Raw genomic sequence first — 13114 nt, forward strand, 5'->3', positions numbered from 1 at the left:
AAAATTGCCATTACTTGAAAAAAACTGTTTTGGATATTTTTATTTACTTACGGATATTAACACATTCTTTTCTTGGCTCTGTACCTAAGAGCGGTATTGATGAATCATATGGTAGGCATACATTTAGTTAGCTTTAGTAGATAATTCCAAATATTTTTTCAGTCTGCCTGTATCAATTCGCACTTCAACCAACGATGTAATAGAACTCCGGTAGCTTCATGTCCTTGCTGCTTGGTACCATTAGACTTGTTAGTACTAGCCATTTTGGTGGTAGGAAAGGTACAGGCTGAGGTTTTAATTTGTTCTCTTCTGTTGAATAAATATGTTATGCTCAAAAGCCATTTGGATATCCTGTATTTTGAAGTGCCATTCGCGTTTTTGCCTAGTTTTAATTGAATTTGTTTTTACTTTTTTATGGTGGAATTTCTTTATTTATTCTGGATATAAGTCATTTATTAGATACATACATTGGAAGTGTATTTTTCTCAGTCTTTGAATTATCTTCTTGCTTTCTTAATGATCTTCTGATGAGAAGAAATTCTTAATTTTAATAAAATCCAATTATTATTATTTTTTTCCTTTTAGGGTTAGTTGCAAGCTGTTTACTCCAATGTCATGAAGATATTGTGCTATGTCTTCTCTTAGAAATGTTATTATTTTGTTACATTTAAATCTATGATTAATCTTGAATATTTTTGTGTATGATGAGAGTTAGGGCCTCAAGATTCACTTTTTCAAATTATCCTAGCATCATTTGTATAAAAGGCCATCTTTTCCACAACTGAATTGTAGTGACATCTTTGTTATTAATCAGGTGACAATATGTGTGGGCATCTATTTCTAGACTCTATTGTCTTCTTTTGTTTATTTCTGTATCTTGAGCCAATACCATAATTTATTTACTATTTAGTGTTTTACTATTTAGTTATTTACTATTTAGTGTTATACTAAATCACTGTGTGGTAGTATAGATCTTTCAACTTTGCTCTTCTTCAAAATAATCTTGGTTAATCTAGGTCCTTTAAATTTCCTTACATCACCTTGTTAGTTTACACATCACATACACACACACACACACACACACATTCATACACACACGCATATACACATAGTGTGCTGGGTTTTTACTGGGATCAAATTGATTCATGAAACTTAACATTGGCTGAGCTTTTTTGCTAAGTACTTTTTATTCAATAATTTTTGCAACAATTGTGTGATGTCGTTGCAACAGTTGTGTGACATTCATACTATGTTTATCATCATTTTACTAACGAGTAATCTATGCTTAGAGAGTGTAAAAAATACCCAGGTAAAGTCAGTATGCATCAAATAATACAGACATGATTGGCTCAAATACCTATTGCATAATTTCTTGAAAGGCAGTGCTTTTTTTAGAAGTTCTGTGAGATCTTTCATTTTGGAACATTGAACAAACAATTGAATAATGAATAAAATAAACAGTATGAATGTAATTCAAGACTATTTGCCCTTGGAGTTGGAGCATAACAAGGAGTTCCCAGTATCAGTTTAACACACTACTGGCTGTTTATGGTAGATAATAATTACATGACAAAATATATAATTTTAGATTATTAGTGATAATAAGAAATGGGCCTGTCACAAAAATAATTACCTTTCCCTTCAAGATAATATGACATAGCTGTGGCACTTAAGCTCATTTAGTTCTAAAGATCCTATGGCTAGAGATCTATTTCACCTTAATTTTAAAACAGGTCAGATAAGAAGAATATAAGAAAATATTTGGTATTTCTTCTTTTTTCCCTATTACTTGCTTGACTGAAGATACTGGGCAAAATTGGGAGAATATAATTATTTTTTCAATCTGTATTTATTGATCTTGATAACTTCAACCTTAGCATCCTCATTATACTAAAATAATCAGTGGGTGATAATTTTTGCTGCAAATAACATGCTAACAGATTTTCAAAAATAAAGTGTTTTCTGTTTCCCTTTTCTTCATGGGCCATTGCTGTATTTTCCACCTCCTTTATGTAATCATTTTAGTATCCAGTTGTGTCACAATGCCCACTGAATGTCCAAGGTTCAGCTGTGACTCAATCCATGACTACCTTCCCACGCAGTTTGCACAGTCAAAGACAGCATTCTTTGCTTTGAGGCTAACTAAAAAATCCTCATCGTCTGATTGTAAATTCTTTTGACAAGTTTTTTTGACCTAAATTTTTGACCAAACTAAATTAATATTAAGAAAATTAGAATAGTGAGAGCGCCTGATTTTCAGGACATTAAATTTCTCAATGGAGATAAATTTCTCAGTTACCATATAAATGAATACGGTATTTGACATAGACCTTCTTCTCTTTCTCATTTCATTTAACTTTATTCTTTTGAATGTGCTGATATGCTTGATTTTATTAAATCATTGGTTCTCAAGCACTTCCTTTAAGTTTCCTAAGGAAGGGCTTTATACCTCCTGAATCTTTCCCTTAGACTCTTTACCTTTACTCCCCAGCAGTAAACTTTGCACTTTTGTGCAAAATTCCATTATCCATATGGTAGAAAATATACCTTTTCAGTTAAGTCTGGTTTTAGGTGAACATTTTAATGGTTGTGATTCTGCATAGTTTTTTTTTTCTTGTTTTACTTTATTGGTTCTTGGGTGGGTCTAAGCATGTACTTCTATGTGTAAACTCCATCTTTGGAGAAATATTAACAAGGATCTTCTGGAAAAGGCTATCATTAAAAATCTTCTGAAGGTAAATACATGTTGCACCAGAGAGGAAATAATGAAAAGTGAATCTAAAATCTTCATTCAAAGCATACTTGACTACAGTTGACAACTATAAAGAAGCTCCCTTTGAAAATCGCAATCATTCTTCATGAGGGACGTCAGAGAGGGAAAGCTTGTCTTGTCTTGTCACTGAGCCTTCCTCAGTCCTTAGAACAGTGGCTGGGACATACAGTAAAGGTCACTTGTTGACTGATTAAATTTATTTTCCATTTATTGGATTGTGATCGTGCAGTCCAACAGAGGTTGGAGAAACCTTTACAATTAAATGTATCGTGGGGAAATGAGGGCCATGAATTTAGGTGGAAGCAAAATTGAGGAGAAAACTGAGTAAATTATTAAATAAGGTTGATCATTATTCTTCAAGTTCATCTGTTATTTAAGAAATAGCGTCTTCAGTAGGCAAGTACCTAATGAAGGCAGAGTTAGAAATGTAAAGCAAAGCAGTGATGAGAAAAACGTTGTCAGAAGCAGAAGATCATGTAGTTTCCAGCTAAAATGATCTTCTAATTACTGCCCCAAGAATCATACTGAGCTAGTCGTATAGGGAGAAACATTCCTGTATAATTCCTTAAAGTCCTTAAAAATCATCATCATTATTATTATTAAAATATTATTATAGTTACTATTTTTGAATATGTGAAGTATGGCAGGCATTGTGATCATCGCTTTATGTAATCATCACAAAATGTCCTGTGAATTATTATTCCCATTTGCAGAAGAAGAAACTGAGACAAAAATTAAATAACTTGTTTGAGGTCATACAGCTGGTAAATGTCAAAGCCATGACCAAGGTTTTCTTATGACAACACTAATGCTCTTAAGCACTAAAGAGCTTTGCATTATAAGAGTAAAATCTCTGACAATGTACGCTTTTCCCTCAAGATTTATCAGCTCACCTTAGTTTGACGTCACCTTCAATTTCATAAGTTTAATGTGTAGATTTTAATAATATAAATAAAAATGTTCCCATTGGATGGAAATCAAGCTTTCTCCACCAGCCACTCTACCCTTCTTTCAAAAGAACCCTAGGAACCCCTGGAGTCTGGGATCAAACTAATGCTAGGTTAGAGTATGTGGTTTAGAGTATTAGAAATAATGGAATTGATCAGTCATCCCCAGAAGTTTCAGCTCTGGGAACAGAGTCATCTTCAGTCATACGACCTAGGTCTCTATAAATAATGAAGTGGTGGGTGTATTGTGGTATGGGGGAAAAGCATCAGAACTGCATACTGATTTCTGAGAAGTTATTTAATCTTGAAAGAAACCAGGAACTTTTAAATGGTCTGTACTCTAGCCAGACTCCCTATATTATCTTCATTATTTATGAATTACTGGAATCTTAATACTTATTTTATACTTTTGTAAATCATCACCCTTCTACTCATTTCTTAATTATTTTACTATAAATGTGCATATTCTTATTCCTCAAGTTTCCTTCTGTTTTGCTTTGAAGAAATGTAATAATATTTCACATTACTGCCTTTGTCCCCAAGACATCTGCTTGGTACTAAGAATCCCAAGTTTGCATGAAGAAAGAGAAAATATCTGCTAAGTGGTGTTATATAAGCAAGTGACTTCTTTAATGGATCCTGGGCTATTCTTTGTCTTTAAGGAAAATAAACTACTACAGCCATTAAAGCTTTCTAACATTACTGATGCCTAGGAAGTGTTAATCTGCAATTAGTCAATTAAGTGATATTTTTGCTACACTGAGCATTACTGTTTGGTAGTTTGACAATCTGTCTGTTGAAAAGGGAAGACAGCCTTTTGAGAAAACTATTTGTAGTCACTGGGTAACATTGATTATCTATGTTTGCCAATGCCTGGAGAAAGGAAAATCATTATGAAAGACTCAGATTGCATATAATTATGTTGATAAATATGTTTGACAATGTTGAAATGTATTATTTCCCTTTACTTGAAAGAAAATTGTTTGCCAATCTAAGGAAGGGATAAATGACATACACAAGGCAGACTAACTCCTTCTTTATCTTTCTTTATTTCCCTGCAAAGCTAACATCTCTACTCCTCTGCAAGATGACCTCCTCCTGCATGCACACAGCAGCCACTGGCTCATAGCAGCCCGAGAGCCCCCAAATCCCTCTGAAAATTGCTGTGAAACAGAGGTTTGCCTCTCTTTCCTGAGAACCAGAATGAGTCAGAAGCCCAGTACACATGGGAACAGTTGAGCCTTTGGATCTTCTGTGCAGTTTCTCCTTTCTGATAAGTTATTCTTTTCTTGCAAATGATTCTCTCCCAGATAACAATCTGAGCAGGGAGGAAAAGAAGAAAGGGACAATTTGTCTATTGAGTCAAACTTCAGGCAGCATTTGATGTACCCTAGCCTTGGAAAAGGGCTAAAACTGCATTTAGTTTGTGGCAAATGTGAATTATCATCTTTCTATGTCAAGTTGTTCATGTCTTTTGATAACATAGCAGGTGATACTTACTCAGAGTATTAATCATGGCATTTAACCTACTCTGAAAGAAAACCAAAATACCCTTAGGGAGAGCTTCCATTACCAGGATATCCAATATTCATTTTGCCCTAAGTGCAACCTCCAAAGATGCAGTCCTATTTAAATAATCAATTCTTCTCAATCACCCCACCCAACAATGACTGGAAATTACCCCAAAGAAAAGAAGAATGGAATAATCAACTTTGAAAGAAAGCCCTTTTTATATTAAAATTGGAACTATTTTTTCTCACTCTCGTCGTTTATATTTTTCCGATACATATTGTAAGCAAACATATACATCAGTTCATATCACTCGTTGAATTTGTCAATCAAATCTAAACATCTATAGGGGACTGGTATTTGTTTAGCCAAAAGAAGCAAAATAAAGAGAAATAAATTATAAAAAGCAAGTTATAAATGTAGCTTAATATTTGTGATAATTTTATTAATCAACATAATTTGCATCTTTGCAACAGGTGTCTTGAGTATATTTTTGTTATTGAACATGGGTCAAAGAGTGAAAACTAACTCATAGAGTTAGAATTTGTATCTACATATTAGTATCATTGGTCCCAAGGCAAAAGCCCTCTTTCTTTCATTTAAAAATAAATATATACTTTGGAAAATTAACTGGTTATTCTAACATTGCAAAATATCCAAGTCTGCATTCACAGTGAAATAAACTATGTTTGGGCCTTGGAAGAGCTCCATGTAATGATAATGTGAATTACTTTAGTTTGTTATTTTTATTGATCAAAAAACTTGACAGTAGCAGAATCCTGCTTCATTATAGTGCTGTATAGAGCAAACTATACCACAGCAACAGCCATCAGAGGAATAATTTATGATTATAATAATTCCAATGTTTTTATGACACTTTGCCCTGTATTCTTTCAATTGATCTTTACACAAACTTTATGGTTTTGGCAAGAGAAAATAAAGACCTAGATATGGTCCTTTAGTGCTTTACAGAAAGTCTTTTTCTTTAGTTACATGGATATATGTGACTTCAATGTTTAAGTAGCTTGACTTTAGAGAGTATTAGAGTAAATATTGATAAATCTGAATAGGTGTCTCCTGGCATTCTATGTCAGTGTATCTCACTGGCATGGCCTGTACTTTCCTGAAATGCTAAGTCAATGTATAGCACCTGGATCTACACATTAGTATTATAGGCACTGAGGCAAAAACCCATTCCCTTTGAAATAACGGTGACCTTCCTGATAGAGGTAATATCTCCTCTGTTCCTCCCCAGCAACTTTCCAGTCACCCACAGGGATCCTCTCAGCTAAATAGCCATCAGCTTCCTTTCTAATTTTATGGTGGGAGGATAGGAAAAGGACATACTCCCTGAGGCATTTGGAAAGTTTAATTGTATTTTTGAAGCTAGTTTCTCATACAGGATGCAAAATTTTTCAAAATATAATGAATTTAAATAAAATGTAAGATAAAATGAAGGTGGCCATTCCTGATAATTAAAACTATCTTATTAAGTGATTTGCAGTATATGTTCTCTACACAATTGATGTGTGTGATTATTTATTGATTTACCTGGGTTTTGTTGTGGCATCGTTTGTACAATGAAACCAAAATGCCACTTTTAGTCTTTCACCTTAGTTAATTAAATAATTTCCTGGTTGATCTTGTTAATTCCATAGGCTTGAGGTTGAGGGGAGGGTATTTACTTTTTCTGTTGCTATCTCGTTGTTAGTGATTACGTTTGAAGTTATTTGTACTTTTTAAAGAGACATAAACAAGTAGTCTGAAGGTATTGTATGATAGATTTTTCCAGGTAAAATATTTCAGACCCCCAACTTGTAAGTTGCAATGAATTCCTGTTTAGGGTGATCACTGTCCCTCAGGGTTATGTTAGCTATAGCTGGCAGACAGTAAGGGGGAAGTGGGGCACCCAGAGTGTTGAGTGCTTATTTATTCTTAGTGTGATGAGACAAGGGGTATCATTGAAGGTCATGCAAAACATGTGTTACTTATGTCAGTTGAATGCCCAGATATAGATAATATATGATTTAAGCATCATAATTGACTCTTTGTTCTCGCTGTCAACACTTTAGGGTGACAATGGAGACAAGAGAACATAGGCCAATGTAGCATGTGCATTTTAAGCGCACTTTTCTCTCTTTCTTGGATTGATAAACTTATTATGAGGGTGTATTAGTCTTAGTTCTCCAGAGAAACAACAAATTAGGAGCATATATGCATATATATGGCTTATATGCATATGGTATTTGTTTACATTGTTACAAAGGCTGAGAAGTCCCAAAATCCGCAATCTGCAATTGGCAACTTGAGACCCAGGAGAGCCAATGGTATATTTCTAGTCTGAGTTCAAAGACCTGAGAACCAGAAAAGCTAATGATCTAAGTAAATTCCAGTCTGAGCTCCAAGGCAGAACACTCATGTCCAAGCTCAAACACAGTCAGTCAGAGAGTGGATTCTCCCTTACTCCACCTTTTGCTCTAGTCAGGCCTTCAAGGGATTGGATGAAGTCCACCCACATTGGGGAGGGCAAACTGCTTAACTCAATCTGTATTCAAAGGTTCATCTCATCCAGAAACATCCTCACGGATACAACCAGAATAATGTTTAATGAAATATCTAGGCGCCTGTGCCCAGGCAAGATGACACATAAAATTAACCATCAGAAAGGGACTAGCTAAGGTCAAGGTTAAGGCTTTTGAAAGAATGATTTGCTTAAATTATCTTTCTTCTGTATAATTTCTCTATTGAAGATCCATGCACATTGCTCTGGAATGTGATTTGTCTCAGATCAATTCAATTCACCACACATTTATTGAGCCCTATGCTTACAAGATATAATGCCAAGCTATATGGGAAACTGAGTGGCACAAAAGCCTTAAGAGTGTATAATCTGGTATTGAGAGATGAATATCCCCAGTTGCAGTGAAAGGCTGAATATAATAAGCAAAATAAGACAGACATCAATTATTTCCAAAGGAGGACAAAGAAGGGAAGAATTTATTTCTACCGAATCAAGAAATACATAAGAAAAGGTTTAAATTTGCCTGGATTGTGAAAGATGAACACCAGGGCTTGAAAGTGGCTAATTTTATATTATAATGACTGTTCCAATTTGATACAAATATGTTTTTGAAGCTCAGAAAATTTCTTGAATGAGTGAACGTAAATAATAGTGGCAAAAAGCCAAAAGAGAACACTAATTTTATCACAGGATTTGCCCTTAGCCATTTTTGAGGCAGAACTACTTTGATGGAATTCCCAAGGAATTCCCTGAACATAAGACGTGCAGTTAAGGTATTTGTCATCCTTCTACCCAGCTTCTACCATAAAGGTATGGTCATTCAGAAGGTGGAGTATTCATTGAGTGTCACCCAGCAGGGAAAGAACATAGACCATGAGACATCTTAAAATATAAATTTCAACCATTTTTTTCTGCAGAAAGTACTTACTCTCTGCAAAGAACTAATGTTGTTTTATGAAGTATTGAACCTGGAGTAATGATATAATGTGCCTTTTAGTTGCAACCTGTCTGTGTTAGGTCGTAAAAAATTATCTTGGAAACATAATTTTAACAATTAGCTTTCATATTAAGTCAAAAATTATTGCACAGACATTATTTCTATTAGCTGTATGTGTAATAGAATAAGACTGTACTAATAAACACTTCTGTAGAAATTAATATTTGATTTATATTGATCCTGACTCATAATTCTAATCCTTAACAATTAATGGGTACTGTATGTATGTGCAAGATGGCAGGAGAGGACAGGAAAGGTGGATTTTTAGCAGGGTAATAGGGAAGGGTAAGGAGTAAACAAGATATCGGTGTTCTTTACCACAAATAAAGTCTAAAAGAGAAAACCAAAGTTTGCTACTAGAATAGTTAACAATGATGTGTGTTATTCATGTAGCAGCCATTATGTATTAAGTTCTGTGCTAGGCATCTCAATATTGAGAGATCCCATATTATTTACAACCTTATATAAGAAAGAATCTGAGATTGAGACAAAATTTAGTAGTTTTTTCTTTTTCATTTTTTTAAATTTACACAGAAAGCAAATAATAGAGCTCAGATTCAAATAAGAATTAATTTTACTTCAGTCATTCCAAAGCTCATACGCTTTTTAACATATCACATGGTTCTTATAGAGTAAAGCCTACATCAGTTTATTTACTTCATCATTGAGATGTCTCTTGCATTCTTCACCCCTTTATATACTTCCTCTGTCCTTGACTTGGCTTGAATGAAATCTTTCTTATAGCATTGCAATGCTTTTTTCAATCTGATTTTTCTGCCTCTAGTTTTCCATTTATGCCAGTTGTCTATTGATTGTCTCTCCACTTCAAATGCACTCTTGTTTGTGCATTTATATCACCTAGGTTTGTGATATAGCTGAAACCTATAAACATTTCTCTTTTGCCCACAAACACAAGGTTTGCTCTGTTAGTCAAAAGTGCCACACAGACACTGCAAATCCATAGCAGAGGAAGAGGTTTGTCTTTCTTATCCTAAAGGGTTGTTTTGTTTGTTTATTTGATTAAATGCCCAGAAAATTGGCAATGCTTGGTGCACAGTAAACAGTAAGAAGGATGTTAACTTTGCTTTAATATAAATAATAATTTTATTACAACAGAGATGTCTCCTCAAGAAATGAGATACTTGTGCATGTACATATTTCCTTACAGAAAAATGTGTTCAATATAGTTAGCTCTTCCTGTTGCAAGTGATCCTCCCACCTCAGCCTCCTAAAGTGTTAAGATTACAGGCATGAGCCACCGCACCTGGCCATTAGCTATTCTCAATCATAAGTCAGAGCAAGGCAGAGTGAATGGTAAATGAGTGAATATTGCAAAGGAACTCAAATTCCAGATAAGAAGTCTGGGAAAGGTAATTGTTAAGATCCTTTGACCCTTGATAATTTATTCTTGATTTCATAGAAAAACAATCCAATGAAACATTTACTGCCTGTCTTCTTAAATACTCATTTGTGTGTGTGTACCTTGTCTTACCATTGTGCTATTTTTCCTTCTAACAGTGTTCTCAAGGATGTACCAGTTATACAGTAGAGTTAATTTATTTGTAGTGAATAGGGATGCAAATTCCTACTTCTAATTTTCAGTTTTAATCACCAGAAAATGCATGGCTGCTTGATGGAAAATACTAGAGTTTAATATGAAAACCTTCCTGTCAACATTTCAGTTTTCCCTCATTGCCTCGTTTCCCTAACAAAGACTCCACATTCTCCAGTGTTTAGCAGACAATAAATCAGTGCTGTGGCTCATTTAACACTCATATTGGAAGGGATTTATTCTCTCTAAAGCTTCAGAAGTTGGGCCAAATACTCAATTTTTATACATTCAACCCCTCAAATCCAAAAGATGTGATATGAACCAAACTAACACAAACAAACTCTCTGGGGGAAAAATAATACTGTGGATTTAAAATCACTAATAGATAAAATGAGGACACATTCCTCTGGGTGGTATAGAATTTCTCTCCTCTGCTCCAGAGGGTGCATTGCTTTTCAGCAGCATAAATCTATCTCCTTTGGTCAAAGAGATGATTTAGTCTCCAGAGCCAAGACAAAAATCCTGTTGGATATTAGAATTTGGAGAGTTCCATGGCCTCCAAACAGGAATTTATATACCAGAGCTGGTAATGGTCCATCTAGTCGAGCCTCCTGCTTCCTCCTGCATCGAATGATGGATGTGTTAGAAGACAGGAATAAACTCACCGTGATGCCCCTAATTGAGAAAAAAAGCCACACCAAGGAAATTTCGTCTTAACTCTGGTACTGGGTTATTTTATTCCATCATGCCTGAGACCTGATAGCTATTTACCTCTATACTACTGTTACAGAGAAATTCTTTTATTTTATTTTTATTTTTGGTAGGAACACACTATTAAATTTCTCATAAGCATTTAATTCTTAATTGAATCTTATTAACTTCTGCTGATTAACAACTCACTGTAGAGTGAACAAGCAATCACATTCCACCTCTTAATTTTGCTTAAAAACTTCCAGCTAAATGTACATAAAATAGTGATACCTCTTACTTTATTTCTTAATATTATATGTCTATAAAAAATGTGACCCACTGGAAGTCAACACATAAAAAATTCTCTGTAATTAGTTATAAAATGTATTATTTAGTTATTAAACTACAAGGAGTGAAAGTTCAATTCATGACTTGTGAGTGTTTCAAGCCTACTCTGTATTATTTGCTTAAACCTTTTAAGAACCTCATATTTCTTTACTAGGAGAAAATTGCCACTGAGCTAGACTACATTAACATGAAATGTGTTTAACAATATCCTTGCTTGGAAACTACTAACAATGTGTTAACAGTTTTCCAGGACACTGTGGACAGTGCATTTTATTTTTTTTGACAACAGGACTGCAAACCACTTTATTCAACTCTGTATTACGTTGTTAAGCCTCCGATGGAAGGACTTTAAGTAAACAGTCTATGTCATCAAAGGACTCAACTCACTGTCATCACCTATAGAATGTTGAGCAATAAGGGCAAGGTCAAATCTTGCATTAGAAGTCTGTGCTACTGTGGGTTCACTGCTACTCAGGCTTTGAGAGCAGGCATTTATGCTTGTTGGCAGACTAATTAAGGGAAATGATATGCCAAAAGAGTTCTCGCCTCATCATTTTTTAAAATGTGTTTACTCATAACTGTGCTTGGATTGGTGGTCAGAAGGGCTAGAAGAAGCACTAATCCTCCAACAATTCTCTAATTCTTTTTGCACGAACAGCTTACATTATCACCTGTTTTGAGTGAAAAGCCATAAATTGGTCCCAGGTAATTGTAAATCATATAGTCAAATATGAAAGCTCGTTCCTCTGAATGATAATAGGTTAACAATCAAATATTTATTTATATGATTAATGTGACTAAAATGGGGTTTATTTAAAGAGCATAGAATGAACATCAAGAGAACAGGACTTCTGCCTGCATGCCCCAGATTTGAATCCTTGGCCCAAACAGTCATTTCTATGTGCAATTAGGCAAGCCATGTATTGTCTATTAACCTACTTCATGAGAGTGCGATGCGAAGATTATAACTTTTAACATACTTTTAGATCATTGTTTATATTATTACCACTATCGTCATATTTTATGATTTATAAATTATGTGATTAATGTGAATACATAAATTATGTGAACAGAGTATTCTACGACTAAACTACTTTTAAAAACCAAAGCAGATTATGATTTGTTTGAAAGATAGAGAAAAAGAAATAAAACTTTGACAATAATATGTTGCTCTTATATAGCATATTCCATTGTTTTCCTTATTTGAGTCTCACAAACATCATGTAGGGTATGTTAATTATTATTATAAAACTTTGAGAAGAGTGTATTTTTCCCTCTAGGAACTAAGCTCCTTTAGAAAAAATAATGTGAATGTACTTTTGTACTGTTACAAGGTAGTACTAGACTGATAAATATGTCCTCACAAATGGACGTAGCACTTGAAAGGTTTTGGAGCTATATGGCTCTGTACATGTCATTATTATATTGTTTTTAAGTGAATATCATTTTCTCCAAGCCCATGCATATGTGTATAAGCTTCTGTTAGAGGTAAACAGGTAGATGACAAGTTGTTTCTTTGCTTAAATTTTAGTTGCAAGGCAAATTTCCTAACAGCCTCTGTTCCATGTACCTGAAGAGAAAAACAGAAGACAGGAAATGTAAAAACTGGCAAGAACTTAATAAAAATTTACGATGAACTCTGCATGCACTGACATAGGCAATGTGAAGACCCTAGGATGTATACTAACACCCAAGTATGCAAAATCTACAGGGTCAAGAATAGAATCTGATATATAACGAATGCTTCATGAATATTTCCTTATACACACACACACAC

At 34.3% G+C, this 13114-nt stretch overlaps 2 long non-coding RNA genes across 4 annotated transcripts in view; one reads left to right on the forward strand and one right to left on the reverse strand.

Annotated features, from left to right (window-relative positions):
- Positions 1 to 13114, forward strand: part of LINC02328 (long intergenic non-protein coding RNA 2328) — a 195101-nt gene that overhangs the window by 67465 nt on the left and 114522 nt on the right. The gene's annotated exons all lie outside the window — the stretch shown is intronic.
- Positions 4751 to 13114, reverse strand: part of LINC02316 (long intergenic non-protein coding RNA 2316) — a 56094-nt gene continuing 47730 nt past the window's right edge. For all 3 annotated transcript variants that reach the window (NR_184188.1, NR_184189.1, NR_184187.1), the window contains one exon: positions 4751 to 5038. This is a non-coding gene — a long non-coding RNA (long intergenic non-protein coding RNA 2316). The remainder of the gene's footprint in view (positions 5039 to 13114) is intronic.

This window comes from Homo sapiens, chromosome 14, assembly GCF_000001405.40.
Source record: "Homo sapiens chromosome 14, GRCh38.p14 Primary Assembly".
Classification (NCBI taxonomy): Eukaryota; Metazoa; Chordata; class Mammalia; order Primates; family Hominidae; genus Homo; species Homo sapiens.